Here is a 13235-nt window from a genome sequence, read left to right on the forward strand (position 1 = left end):
GGCTGAGGCAAGAAAATCGCTTGAACCCAGGAGGTGGAGGCTGAGTGAGCCGAGATCGCGCCACTGCACTCCAGCCTGGGCAACAGAGTGAGACTCCGACTCAAAAACAAAAACAAAAACAAAAACAAAAAAGAGAGAGAGATAATTTATTGAATTTAAAGTGCCCAGTGTCTAGTAGACCGTAAATAAGAGCTTTTTAAATTAATAGTACAGCTTAGTATGAATTTTAATCCGGCTTAATTCAGAAATCAGCTGTCTTGTTTTCTTTTCTTTAATGTCTTAGGATTCCGCCTACTCTAAGGCAGGAAGGCACACGTGTATGCCCCTCACCTCCAGGGTGTTTAAAGACCCAGCTCTCCCCTGCCTGTAGTAATGGGGAACACATTTTTGGATGCCATAGAGTTGCGCTCGGGTTTTCTGGGCCATCAAGACCTATTGTGAAAGCAATAGGAGACCAGCGTTCTTGGTGGGAGGTTCTGGGGAAAGGACAGGGAGAGGGAATGGAGACAGATGTTGAGCTACTGGATGAGGCCTGTACAGGATGAGCCTGGGCCTCAGAGCAAGCACAACACAAAGCAGAGTGATGGACTGAGACGCTTGTGGGGAGTAAACCAGGGCTGGCGTACTGTGATTCTGACCCCTGGAAAGTTGCCTGCGAAGGGCACCGCATTGCCAGAAGAGCCAAGTGAGCCGATCAAGGGAAAGGCCTCTGCCAGGAGCCTTCCCCCGAGAGACCGCTTTTCCTCCCACCGCAGGGTCGGCTTGCATGACAGGCCTGCGCTCCGCTGGCTCCAGCGCCTCCGAAGTCACCTGCCCTGCAGTGGGGGCGCGCACCCAGACCCTCCCCTGGGATCCCATCCTCCCCTCCATCCCCCTTCCCTCCTGGCCCAGGGCCCCCGGGAGTGACGGCGAGAGGGGGAAAAGCTCTGGGAAAGGAGGGCCGGGCCAGCCCAGGGGAACACAGGGCCGTCTTCACCCTCCACGCCCTTCCTTCCTTCTCCACCTCCTTCTTCCAGATTCCTCTCCAGGCACTGATAGAATAGACCGAAAGAACGACGGGTTTGACTTGTTTAGCAAATGCTTTTGATACCCCTGAAACACAGAGAAACGTGTGCCTTGGCAGTAAGGGATTATTGCACGTTTTAACTTAGCAGGACTGAATCAGGCAGAAAGAAACCTAATCACCGGTCTCCAAAATCGGCCCAAACCTCTGGCGGCCGCGTCACTCGGCTCCACCAGTCTGTGCCGCCTGCAAGCGCCCCTAGCGGCCTCGCAGCCATCGCGCCTCAGCAGCGCCGTGGCGTCCTGTTCGGCAGTGTCCATTAGAGGGCGCCAGCGCGCCTCAGAAGAGGGACCGTGACGCTAGCCCTCGCGGGTGCAGCCCGGAATTGCAAGAAGGCTGCGGAAGGCTGTGCCAGCAACTTGCACGACAGCACCTTGCTTCTAGAGCATGAGTTTACCTGAACATGCAGCTCAGGGATTGTTTTCAGATTGAAACCATCGCACATTCCCTGTGGCAGGCAGCCCCTCTCCGAGGATAACAATCATGACGGTAATCATGGTCATGATCGTCTTTGCAATGGCCCCTTGCCCTGAGGGTCTTCTGGCCCAGGACCCTCCGGTCCTGGCTGCTCAGGACAGGTGATTACCTTTTGAGGGCCTGAGCTAGTATTCTCCCTCAGGTATTTGCAAAACTTTAATTCCAGTGTCTTGTAATTGTCTAGCTTTTGAAGATTCTCAGAACCATCTCATTAAGATCTCACAGAAATTGAGCTCTCCAACTCCAATCCCACAGCTTTTTGCCTCCCGAAATTTGCTGTGTGTGTGTGTGTGTGTGTGTGTGTGTGTGTGTGTGTGTCAGAGAGAGAGAGAGCACGCACCTCCCAAGTTCTTTGCTTACTGGCTCGCTGATACCTCGCAGACCAATATTCACACTGCCTTTCTTTGACACTTTCCTTACTAAACTGTACCAGCCACACAACATTTACACGCGGATGGGTATGGACAGCACCAGATCTCTTCCGGACAGCACCAGATCCCTTCCCCACAGCACCAGATCCCTTCCCCACAGCACCAGATCCCTTCCCCACAGCACTGGGGTCCCAGCAGATGTAGGACTAGGCTTGATGGCAAGCACTTCAGACCAGCGTCTGGAGATGTATGTTCTGGGCCTGGGCCTGCCACCACCTATGAAACCCTAGGCAGGGCACTAGCCCTGGGTGCCTCCCCTGAGGAGGCGACTGACCATATCTCTGAGGTTTCGTGAAGCTCTAATGCTTCTGGACTGTGATTGTACAGAAAGCAGAAGGGCCATTGCCAAGAAGAAGGCATCATGTGCTGTGTTGGGTGTGAGCATTGCCGTGGACGGGCAACCCCTGGGCACTGAGCTTCCACCCAAACCAGCCCTGAGCTCCATCCCACTCCTCTCCCCATCATGACCTGCAGACCCCATCTCAGGAGCTGCATTCTCCAAGCCCCAAACTGAGAGGTGTGGTCTGATGATTTCTTAAGGGAATGTCATCTTTGAATGACCTGCCTTAGGAACCCCAAAGCAGCGTCTGCAGGCAGCCACTCAGCCTCAGGCCCTGAATACGTTCCCGATTCTGCCCTGCTCTGCCAGTTCTATTAATATTACATTAGCCTCCTCTCTCCACAGGGCCTCATACCGTGGGGGAGCTCCCAGCTTCCTTTGTTTGACTTCTCCCCAGATGCCACACCTGATGACTTGGAAATATAATAAATGAATCCATTGTAATTATCAAATAATTACAAAATGGTGTTTTTACTAAAGAACTAGAGAAGACCCTATGGAATTTCTGGGAAGCTCTACCTAATAATAGACTCCCCACTAAAGGAAAGAGTACGTATTTCAAGATCCAATATTATTTGTATTTTACTGGTATATGTGGTGTGGTTCAAAGACTTTAGTCAGTTGGCTTTCAAATTTGCTCATTTATTATTTTTTTCTGACAACCATAACCACTCTAATGTGTTGCATTCACATAACATCTTTCATCTGCCATCTCAAATGTTTTTCCTCTCAGCTTCCTGAGTGCTCTTTGTCAAAACTGCTTTGGTTCTCTTTGTCCTTCAGGGATGGTTCCCCTGTGCCTACACCTGAGACGTGTCTCTCCTGAAAACTCAGGATGAAGGCGGACTTGAAGGAGGAGGCTCAGAGCCTGAAGGGCTGGGGGCTGGGCAGAGGCAGACACATGGCAAGGTGGGAGGATGGGTTGAGCAGACACGAGGCCTGTTGGCCAGTCTTCAGCAGGCTCCCAGGCTCCTGAGGGAAACGTTCGGGTGTCCTCAGGCCATGCCTAACTGCCCTGAGTGGGAGGCCCATCTTGTGGGCTGGGCACCGAGTGTCCCCACCAGGCTGAACAAAGACAGCCTGAGCACAGGAATCCTGGCCAAACAGGGATCTTCGTGGCCACCATTCCACAGGTGTTGCCAACTGTAGGAACAGTGCCTGCTCTCTGCCCCTGGGTCCAACCATTCTGAAGCTGCCCGGTCCTGACTTGCAACAACCTAAGATTTTTGGTGGCACAGGAGAGGTGATAGGTTTCAGTTAAGCTACTTGGGTTGCAAGGAGCATAGAGAGTTACAGACTAACCCAGGACCATAACGTTCCAAGCCCTGGAGCTGGGATGGGAGGAGTGGCTCTTGGGACCAGCCAAGCACTCCACCGTGCTCAGCGGCCGGCCTCAGCCCTGAATGTCTACTCCGTTCCTCAAACTAAGACTCGCTGCTGCTTCTTTTACTCTCCCTTATTTACCTTTTCTCTGTCCTATAGCTTCTGCCTCTAGATAGTTTCTACCTCCTTGTAACTTTAGCCTTCCAAGACCCTCACTCAACTTCTTGGTCTTGCCCTACAGCAGGATCCTTCAGCTGAAGTCCCCATGCTGCGTGATTTTCTCCATATTCACAAATTCCAATGCCCATCTTAGACCAAACAGCCTCAGGCCCCCAGGGACAAATGTGGGGTGACCTGACAAAGCCAGGTTTATTGACTTGTTGCAGTGAAAGAGCCACACACCAGAGGAACCATGAGGCATCTCACCAAATGTAGGAGATTGATTATTATACATTGTTGGGGAAGGTGGTGTTTACGTGACATTTAAATGATCAGTGTCTTACTAGGCTCACAGCAAGGCAAAGCTGAATGTGAAGGGGCAATGTCAGGTCTGGAATGCAAAGTGAATCCAAGGACCTCTGACCTTGGAATCTAAAGTTGGGATATATGTAAAATGTTGTGTCCAGAAACCCCTTACCTGAGGCTCTGCACATGGACTGTAAATTAAGGCTACTTCCCTGTGTCAATGACTGAGATCCTCTAAGCAACAGAGAGGTGTTTTATTCTTACTGATGTAATTTCAAACAGTGAAATTTCTGATAGTCTATATTTTAGAGGACAAAGTTTCTCAGTGAGTGAGAAAACAGTAGTCACTCAAAGAAGACAGTTACGACATTTTACAGCTGCACTGTGTCCTTGAGGAAAATAATGTTTTCTGTGAACTTTGCAGCTCACTTTATCCATGTCATTATTCCGGCACGATAGTCGGCCGGCAGATTCTTTCTTTCTTATGTTCAAAAAGAGCATCTGCTTGGCCCAGCCTATCTTTGCAGGCTGCTTCCCAGCTCAGGCACAGGGTGTCCTCGGGTTCCGCTTTCCCCCAGCCCAGGTCTCATCAGTGATACTAGGAAGAAGGCTGTCCTTCAGGCCACTCTCCTGAAGGGGCTGCGGACATAGCCGGTGTCCTGCTGAATGAATTCCACATGAAAATGGGAGCTCCAGCTCCAGAGCTGGGTAAAGTCCCTCATTCAGTCTACTTGGTCAGGATGGAAGCATCCTGCAATGCCCACCCACCACTCCTTGCTCCACTCTGCCTTTCCACGTGGAAGCACGTGTCCTCCGGCAAAGGATAAACTGCTTAAACAAGAAAGAAGTTTCTCTCCAGGTGACAGTCCGGAGGTAGGCAAGTGGTCCAGGGCTGGTGTGTGGCTCTGCCATCCTCAGGCATGGCTTCCGTTTGCAGCTGCAAATGGCTAGTACAGTCCTTGCCAATGCCTAGCCAGCAGGCCAGGAAAGACATGGGAACACACACTCAGTCCTCTTAAGTGCAAGAATATAACATTCTGGGAACTAAGGTGTATGATTTCAGCTCATTTGTCATTCGCAGGACTTGCTCAGGTAAGGGAGGCTGGGAAAGAGACTTGACTTGGTGGCCACGTGCAGGAGCTGTCAACCCTCTCCTAACCCACCACTTAGAGACAGTGCCCTTCTTGTTGGCTAGCCTCTTCCATCCACAGGCAAATGCGTCCTTTCCTCTTTTGTCCTGTCCTAGTCTCTAAAAGAACCAGAGATGTTAACATCTGAGCCTCCCCTGAGTGCAGACCAATGGGGACAGGGCTGCAGATCCTGGGCAGGGATCTCCGTGCTGATGGTGAGGAGACATTGTCAGTGGCCCTTGCTCCACCAGAGTCCTCCCTGCAGCGCCCTTCACCGCCCAGCCCCCTTGCCCACCCCTGTCATTTGGTGCTCAATTTCAGATGCCTGCCCATCCCCTGCCTTGCTCCAAAGAACTTTGGTAGGTAGAGGAGGCACTGCTCCAGGGCCCCAGGAGCATGGGAGTATCCTGAGGCCAGTCGGTGCCTCCAGGGCTCTTCCCGGCCTCCTCCAAACAGCATGTTCTCTTCTCCCTTCCTTGGGGCTAAAAGGAGTCGGACCATGTGAGAGTGGAGGGTACTGAGGTTGTGCTGGCCTTTGTGCTCAGCACCCTCCATCCACTGCCACCCACCTATGCCACTCTCTTGGCTTGTTGACTGGCCAGGCTGGGGACGCAGTTTTCTTACATGTCCAGAGCAAAGCAGTAGAAGACAGGCCAGCACTGCAAGCTTGAGCCTACGTGCTCCAGCATCTCCGAGCTCCCAGGCATCCACCCACCCCACACCTCAGCCACTGGCTCCTGGGCCCTGGCAAGTGCCACATTCCTGATGTGGTGGACGCTGTCCCAACTCATGTCAGGCCAGGCCCAGAGGCAATGGGAACTGATGGACAAGATGGATCACCACCTCCCCACCTACACAATTATTGTAGACATCCCACCCGAAAGCTTGTTCTATAGTTGCCATGGAGGAATGCCCCAGAGGAATGAATTGGTACCAAGGTCATAGTGACTTCATGCACCAAACGCAGGGAGGTATAGCAGTGAAGTGCATAGACTTGAAGTCAGGTTAGCTGCGTTTAAATCTGAGGTCTACCACTTCCCAGCAACTGGGATCTTGAGCAATTATTTAACTCCTCTAAACCTCAGTTTCTTCATTTCTAAAATGAGACTAATAATGGTAGCACACTTCATAATCATCAAGGAAGACTAAAACAATTGTTACACCAAAAGTGCTTAAAACAGGGCCTAGAACAAAATGAGCATTTCATAAATGTTGGCTATTGTTACTTTTCTAGAGGTCTTTGGATTCAATGAATCAATATGACAATACATGACCTTGTGGAAAGACACTAATGGTGGTCTCCCACACATCAAGTCACAGAAGTGGGGGACATAGTTTTAGGGCATTGGGAAAGCTGGTGTTGCTCACAGGGAACTGTCTGATGTAGAAAAGGGCTTCCCGGGAACTGTGAAGTCAGAAAAATTGGTCAAAATCATACTGATTGCTGTTAACATGTCGGAGGCAGGCAGGCTGCAGAGACAAAGCCTCTGGGGTCTCCTGATCACCACTGCGTAAAACCCAGGTTATTCTCCAGCACCCCTAGGACAATCTCACCCCACAAGCAAAAAGGATGGTTGTGTGAACCCTGCTGTTGTAAACCTGGGGCTGGGAAAAGTGAGACCAATTTGTTGGATAAAGATGTGAGGACATTTAAGCCCTTGCCATGCATGAAGTTAGGAAGATGGCAATCATTTTTGCTTATAGCAATGCCTTAAAACTTATCCTATATCAGCAGCTGTGACTGGGAAGAGCCCTGTGCTGGGAGTGCAAACGAGACCATGAGCTTCTTGAGGTAGGTGTGGATCTAATCAATTGCCTGGCACACAGATGATGCTCAGTAAATATTGGCTGGATGAAGTCAGGAAACCTGTGTTCCAGTCTCTGCTCTGTAGGGAGCCAACAGTGTCACCCCGGTCAATATGCCTCTCCTCCAGGGTTGCTGTTCCCCATCTGCCTCTAGACTTGATATCTGAGATTCCATTGAGCAGTAAGATTCTGTCCGTTCCCAGCCTAGGAGCTTGCTGCCCACCTAAGGAGACCTGTCTTGCTGTAAGACCCTCAGGCCTTGCCCTCCTCAACCTCAGCAGGGAGACTGCCTGCCTGAGTTGGAGGTGGTGTGTGTGGTGGAAAGGCAAGGCTCCATGTTTTTTTCCTTTTGACTGCTCGATAGTGGAGCCTCAGACCCCTTGCAGGAGGAATGAGTCGGTGTGGGGAGGGTAATTGAGCCGAAACTGGCAGGAGGAGGAGAATAGGTGCAAAGGAAGTCAGGGCAACCAGCTCCCTGGGGAGAAGCTGAGAGGCAGCAAGTAGAGGCCGAGCCAGAGATGATAGGAGAGGGCCCAGCAGCAGCAGCGAACAGCAGTGTGGCTGGGGAAGAGCAGATGGGGCTGGCAGATGGGAGCTGACAGGCTGCACGGGCTGGCAGGCAGCTCAGCATTTCTCAAGAGGCAGCTCCGCTGAGCAGCCAAGGGGAGATGGGGAAGGCTGAGCTATCAAACCCTTTCTGCTTCCCAATCATGTCTTTCTCTAGGAGACCTACAGGAGAGGATTGGGCCTAAGAAGTCAGGGTTGCCTCCCACAATTAATGATAAAATTTCAATTCGAAATCAATAACTTAATGGAATGAGATTTCTTTTCATCTGAATTGGGAAGCATTCATTAAATACCTACTCCGTGGCAGGCCCTCAGTAGGATGCTAGGTGAGAAGGACCTCTCTGCCGTGCAGGGGAAGCTCAGTCAGGAAGTAGAGCAGGCAAGACCTCAGACTCCAGGCAGACAGTACCACAGTACAGGTGGGCAGTGGGCCAGCTGTGGGGGAGGAGGGAGGGCCACTGGAACTGGGAGGGGACGTAAGACAGGAAGGCTTGGCAAAGGCAGCAGCATGCAAATTAACTCTCCGTTTTCACATGGAGGAGGTAGGGCCTTCTGACTGTGTGAGTCAGCTTGCAGGAAAGTGCAAAAGCCAGTCTGAAACATAAAGAAATATTAAGACATGCAAGGCCATCCTTGGTTTCCCTTTAGTCTGGTTTGCTTAAGGGAAGCTTTCTTCATCCAAAATAGAACGTGGTTAGGGGGTGGGGGAAGTAAGAAGCAAATCCTACCATCGTGCTCTGGATCCCATCTCCCACACATCTCCTTGCTGATCCCACCCTGGGACACTTACTCAATTGATTATCCCAGCTCTCTTCAGTCTCGAACTTCTCCTCTGTTGGTCCCTCATACCATCTTTGAACTTGATCCACTATCTCATTAATAAACAAACTATCCCCTTTCATGCTTACTTCTTCTCTGTCTCTTTCTCACTGTAGCTAAATATCTTTAAAACATGGTCTATATTGTCTTAGAGTTAGTCCTGCTGCTGCCTTAGTCTTGCTGAAGAATGGGAACAGAAGATGGAGATTCTGAATGGCCAGAAAGAAGGGCCTGGCCACAGACAGCTTTGCCTTTCTCTGCACCGACCAGGTAGGGATCACAGGCCTCAGTAGTGCCGATCCCTTCCAGGTTTTGTGCCAGAAAAATTCCAAGTCAAGCCCCTCAAAGGATCACAAACTGCACCATTGGCAATGGCTTGTTTAACCGAACTTGAGAACTGTTCTTGACCCCGCAACCTGGTATTGTCTCTAAAGGTTTTACCCAATCACCTGGGGATGCTGTCTTTCAACTCTCAGATTTGGAAGAGGATGAAGAGGAGGTACCACTCTATACTTCAGCAGCCACTTCAGTGGAACAGAAACATTCAATATCCAAGCAACAGTAGGCATCCTCCCACTACCCAGACTTCAGGATAGGGACTGGCTACTATTGCTGTCTCAAACCCAGGAAAGCGTCTGTCATAGACAAACCGAGCATTTTCCCTCCTCACCACCTATGAGATATTGCATGTCTCTGAAATCACTCAGGTTGCCCCAAGCTCAGTCTCCCTTTATAATTCCAGGAGAAGCAGTGATAGCAGTTCGCTTATCACAATTATAAATTCTCCTGCCAGCTACTACAATTCAGCATTGATGAATCCACAAAATGTATGGTTTAAGACTTTCATTAAATCCTCCTAATGTGGGCCAGTTGAAGAGGAGTTTAGTAGACAGCTGAAGAGATTAGAGATAGCTAGAGTGATAGAGTCCTGATGCCCAGGAGAATGGAAGCTGCCAAGATGTGGTGGCTTACATCTGTAATCCCAGCACTTTGGGAGGTCAAGTTGGATAATCACTTAAGCCCAGGAGTTTGATACTAGCCTAGGCAACATAGTGACACCCCATCTCTACAAAAAACTAAAAAATTACCCAGGAGTGGTGATGTATGCTTGTGGTCCCAGCTACTAGGGAGTCTGAGGTGGGAGGATGCATTGAGCCCATGAGGTTGAGGCTGCAGTGAGCCATGATCACGCCACTGCACTCCAGCCTGGGCAACAGAGTGAGAACTTGTCTCAATATAAAAAAATAAATAAATAAATGCAGTTTGTTGGTGAATTGAAAAGGAATCAGCCTTTCAGTCATGATGGGTAGCCTCTGACCTCCACTATGTACATCCCCACTAAAATTGGGTAGGTGTCCTGTAGGACTGAGACTCAGCAGTTAGCTGACCTCTTGTACAAATTTGGATGCGAATAGTTATGCGCTGACTGAAACATCTGGTCTGGTTTGATTTGAGAGAAAAGAAACATGGCAAAAAGGTTATGAATATGGAAGTGGAAGAATGGGAACAGAATGTGATGAGGCAATAAAGGATGAGGTCTGATGAATGGAGAGATTGTGTATGAAAAGTCCATGAGTCTATGGAACCAGCAAAGCATGAAAGGTTTAAGACACTTCATCAGTTGGGTTTTCTTGCCTTGAAAAAGGGGGAATAGAAAATGATTTGGTAAGTACTCCCTCTTTCACTTCCTTTGGAAGGGATTGGGCAAAATAAGTATTATTTCCTCCTCATATACGTAGAATTAGTTTTTTTGGTTTTTTGTTTGTTTGTTTTTGAGACAGAGTTTTTGAGACTCTGTCACCCAGGTGGGAGTGCAAGGGCGCGATCTCTGCTCACTGCAAACTCTGCCTCCCAGGTTCAAGCGATTCTCCTGTCTCAGCCTCCTGAGTAGCTAGGATGATAGGTGCCTGCCACCACGCCTGGCTAATTTTTGCATTTTTAGTAGAGATGGGGTTTCACCATGTTGGCCAGGCCAGTCTCAAACCCCCGATCTCAGGTGATCTGCCCACCTCGGCCTCCCAAAGTGCTGGGATTGCAGGCGTAAGCCACCATGTCTGGCCTAGAATTAGTTTAGAAAGCCATTTATCTGTGGAGTTTTCTTTAATGAAAGGTTAACTATAGATGCATTTCTCAAACGTTATAAAAATTTGCATCAGTTTTAATTTTTCTAGAAATTTGTTGATTTCGTCTAAATTTTCCAATTTACTGGCATAAAGTTGTCCATAAAATCTTGTTTTAGGCCCGGTGCAGTGGCTCACGCCTGTAATCGCAGCACTTAGGAGGCTGAGACGGGTGGATCACTTGAGGCCAGGAGTTTGAGACCAGCCTGGCCAACATGGTGAAACCCTGTCTCTACTAAAAATACAAATATTAGCTGGGCGTGGTAGCTGCGTGTACTCCCAGCTACTTGGGAGGCTGAGGCAGGAGAATCACTTGAACCCGGGAGGCAGAGGTTGCAGTGAGCCTAGATCGTGCCACTGCACTCCAGCCTGGGTGACAGAGTGAGACCGTCTCAACAAATTAAAAAAAAAAAAAAAGAGAGAAAGAAAGAAAGAAAGAAAAGAAGAGAAAAATCTTTTTTAAAAAATTCATTTTAGGGCCAGGTGCGGTGGCTCATGCCTGTAATCCCAGCACTTTGGGAGGCCGAGGCAGGTAGATCACGAGGTCAGGAGATCGAGACCATCCTGGCTAACATGGTGAAACCCCGTCTCTACTAAAAATACAAAAAATTAGCCAGGCGTGGTGGTGTGCACCTGTAGTCACAGCTACTTGGGAGGCTGAGGCAGGAAAATGGTGTGAATCTGGGAGGCGGAGATTGCAGTGAGCTGAGATCGTGCCACTGCACTCCAGCCTGGGCGACAGAGCGAGACTCCATCTCAAAAAAAAAAAAAAATTCATTTTAGGCCAGGCACGTGGCTCACGCCTGCAATCCCAGCACTTTGGGAGACTGAAGTGGGCAGATCACCTGGGTCAGGAGTTCAAGACCACCATGGCCAACATGGCAAAAATCCATCTCTATCAAAATATGTAAAAATTAGCTGGGCATGGTGGTGTGCACCTGTAATCTCAGCTACTGGGGAGGCTGAGGTTTGAGGATCACTTGAACCTGGGAGGTGGAGGTTGCAGTGAGCTGAGATCATGCCACTGCACTCCAGTCTGGATGACAGAGTAAGACTCTGTCTCAAAATAAAAATAAAAACAAAAATTCATTTTAAACTTTTAATTGTAAAATAAAGTGCAGATACAGAAAAATCATACAAATGTAGTTGTGTGAATTTTGATTGGGTTGACACCCACATAACTATTAATTGGACCAAGAAATAAAACTCTGCTGGCCACCCCAGAAGTCCCACCTTCTGACATGTTCCTATCACAGCCCACTCCCTTCCTCCAAAAGTAACCACCATTGTGACTTAATCGGTTCTTTGTGTTTCTTTAAGATTTTATAACCTGAATGCATTCTATTCAGGTATTCTGAACAGAATTTATAACCTGAATGCATTCTATTCAGTATTTTTTTAAGGCATGCCTTTTTTTTTTTTTTTTTTTTTTTGAGACGAAGTCTCCCTCTGTCATCCAGGCTGGAGTGCAGTGGTGCGATCTCAGCTCACTGCAACCTCTGTCTCCCAGGTTCAAGCAATTCTTCTGCCTCAGCCTCCCAAGTAGCTGGGATTACAGGCACACAATACCAGGCCCGGCTAATTTTTGTATTTTTAGTAGAGACGGGGGTCTCACCATGTAGGCCAGGCTGGTCTCGAACTCCTGACCTCAAGTGATCCGCCCACTTCAGCCTCCCAAAGTGCTGGGATTACAGGTGTGAGCCACCACGCCCAGCCTAACAGCATGTCTTTTAAGCCTCTTTTAATGCACAGGTTTCCCTCCTCCATCCCTTTTATTGCCTTGCAATTTTTCTGCTGATTATGAAGAATACAGGGCATTTTACCTGTAGAGTTTTGCACAACCTGAGTTCTGAAATTTGTTGACTGCATAATTATGGTGCATTTCAATATGTTTCTCTGTGTTCTGTCATTTCTACAGATTGGTAGTGGGATGTAAAGGCTTTAGACTCAAAGTAATGCTTTGCCAAGACTGTAGATAGGTTGGGTTGCATTCTTTAATCAGGAAGTGACTTCTGAACAGCCAGCAAAATTTGGAAGTGGATGAGTAAGTGCAACCAATCACCCTCTGCCACTTTTGGGGTGTGACTGGGGTCCTGCCCTACTTGGCTAATAGTGCCACCATTTGACATTTTATGCGTTTGTATTTGTTTGTATTTGTGGCACCATGAGAGTTTGCTTAGATTGGACTCACTGGCCCATGGAGCCATTTGGAATGGGGGAGAAGAATTCAGGACCTCACCCAGCCCCCTTCACGGGGGACTCATTTGGAAGCACACTGTTTGCATATATGAATGTATGACTTTGTGTATGAGCCCTGATTCCTTTGCTATGGAAGATAAGCGAGAATGGTGGGGGGTACTCCCTGCACTGTGTAATGGCTGGAAGGCTCTGGAATTTCCTTTCAATCATGTTACCTTTTTTTCTTCCCCTCCTTTCTTCCTCACACCCTGCTTGTAAGACTTGGCTCCTACACAAAGGCTGGCCAGGCTCTATCTTCCTCTGTTTTCTCTTCTGCCTGCTTTATATGAGTATGTAAGTGTGTGTTTATAGGTACATTTATATATTTTGTTATGTGTTGTGGCCACAAGGTACCAAATTGGCTTAAAGGAGTACTCATAAATTAATAAGCCCAAATGCTTTCCAAGTTCATGTGACTTAAGTAAAATCTTTAATAAATAAGATGGCTCTAAAATT

General features: G+C 48.7%; 1 pseudogene, besides 6 other annotated features; it reads left to right on the top strand.

The window, feature by feature from the left end:
* Nucleotides 258-758: an enhancer, noted in NCBI's record as "H3K4me1 hESC enhancer chr1:114888268-114888768 (GRCh37/hg19 assembly coordinates)". NCBI's record gives its function as "activates a minimal SCP1, AML or CMV promoter by ChIP-STARR-seq in primed H9 embryonic stem cells {active_cell/tissue: H9 hESC(primed)}" and the evidence as "EXISTENCE:reporter gene assay evidence [ECO:0000049][PMID:30033119]".
* Nucleotides 3323-3823: an enhancer, noted in NCBI's record as "H3K4me1 hESC enhancer chr1:114891333-114891833 (GRCh37/hg19 assembly coordinates)". NCBI's record gives its function as "activates a minimal SCP1, AML or CMV promoter by ChIP-STARR-seq in naive H9 embryonic stem cells {active_cell/tissue: H9 hESC(naive)}" and the evidence as "EXISTENCE:reporter gene assay evidence [ECO:0000049][PMID:30033119]".
* Nucleotides 7112-7612: an enhancer, noted in NCBI's record as "H3K4me1 hESC enhancer chr1:114895122-114895622 (GRCh37/hg19 assembly coordinates)". NCBI's record gives its function as "activates a minimal SCP1, AML or CMV promoter by ChIP-STARR-seq in naive H9 embryonic stem cells {active_cell/tissue: H9 hESC(naive)}" and the evidence as "EXISTENCE:reporter gene assay evidence [ECO:0000049][PMID:30033119]".
* Nucleotides 7112-8113: a biological region, named in NCBI's record as "H3K4me1 hESC enhancers GRCh37_chr1:114895122-114895622 and GRCh37_chr1:114895623-114896123".
* Nucleotides 7479-7773: a silencer, noted in NCBI's record as "tiled region #970; HepG2 Repressive non-DNase unmatched - State 20:ReprD, and K562 Repressive non-DNase unmatched - State 8:EnhW". NCBI's record gives its function as "represses a minimal TATA promoter and a strong SV40 promoter by Sharpr-MPRA in HepG2 and K562 cells {active_cell/tissue: HepG2 | K562}" and the evidence as "EXISTENCE:reporter gene assay evidence [ECO:0000049][PMID:27701403]".
* Nucleotides 7613-8113: an enhancer, noted in NCBI's record as "H3K4me1 hESC enhancer chr1:114895623-114896123 (GRCh37/hg19 assembly coordinates)". NCBI's record gives its function as "activates a minimal SCP1, AML or CMV promoter by ChIP-STARR-seq in naive H9 embryonic stem cells {active_cell/tissue: H9 hESC(naive)}" and the evidence as "EXISTENCE:reporter gene assay evidence [ECO:0000049][PMID:30033119]".
* Nucleotides 8598-9771, top strand: LOC100421116 (trafficking kinesin protein 2 pseudogene; annotated as a pseudogene).

The sequence above is a fragment of the Homo sapiens genome, chromosome 1 (assembly GCF_000001405.40).
Source record: "Homo sapiens chromosome 1, GRCh38.p14 Primary Assembly".
In the NCBI taxonomy this organism is placed as follows: Eukaryota; Metazoa; Chordata; class Mammalia; order Primates; family Hominidae; genus Homo; species Homo sapiens.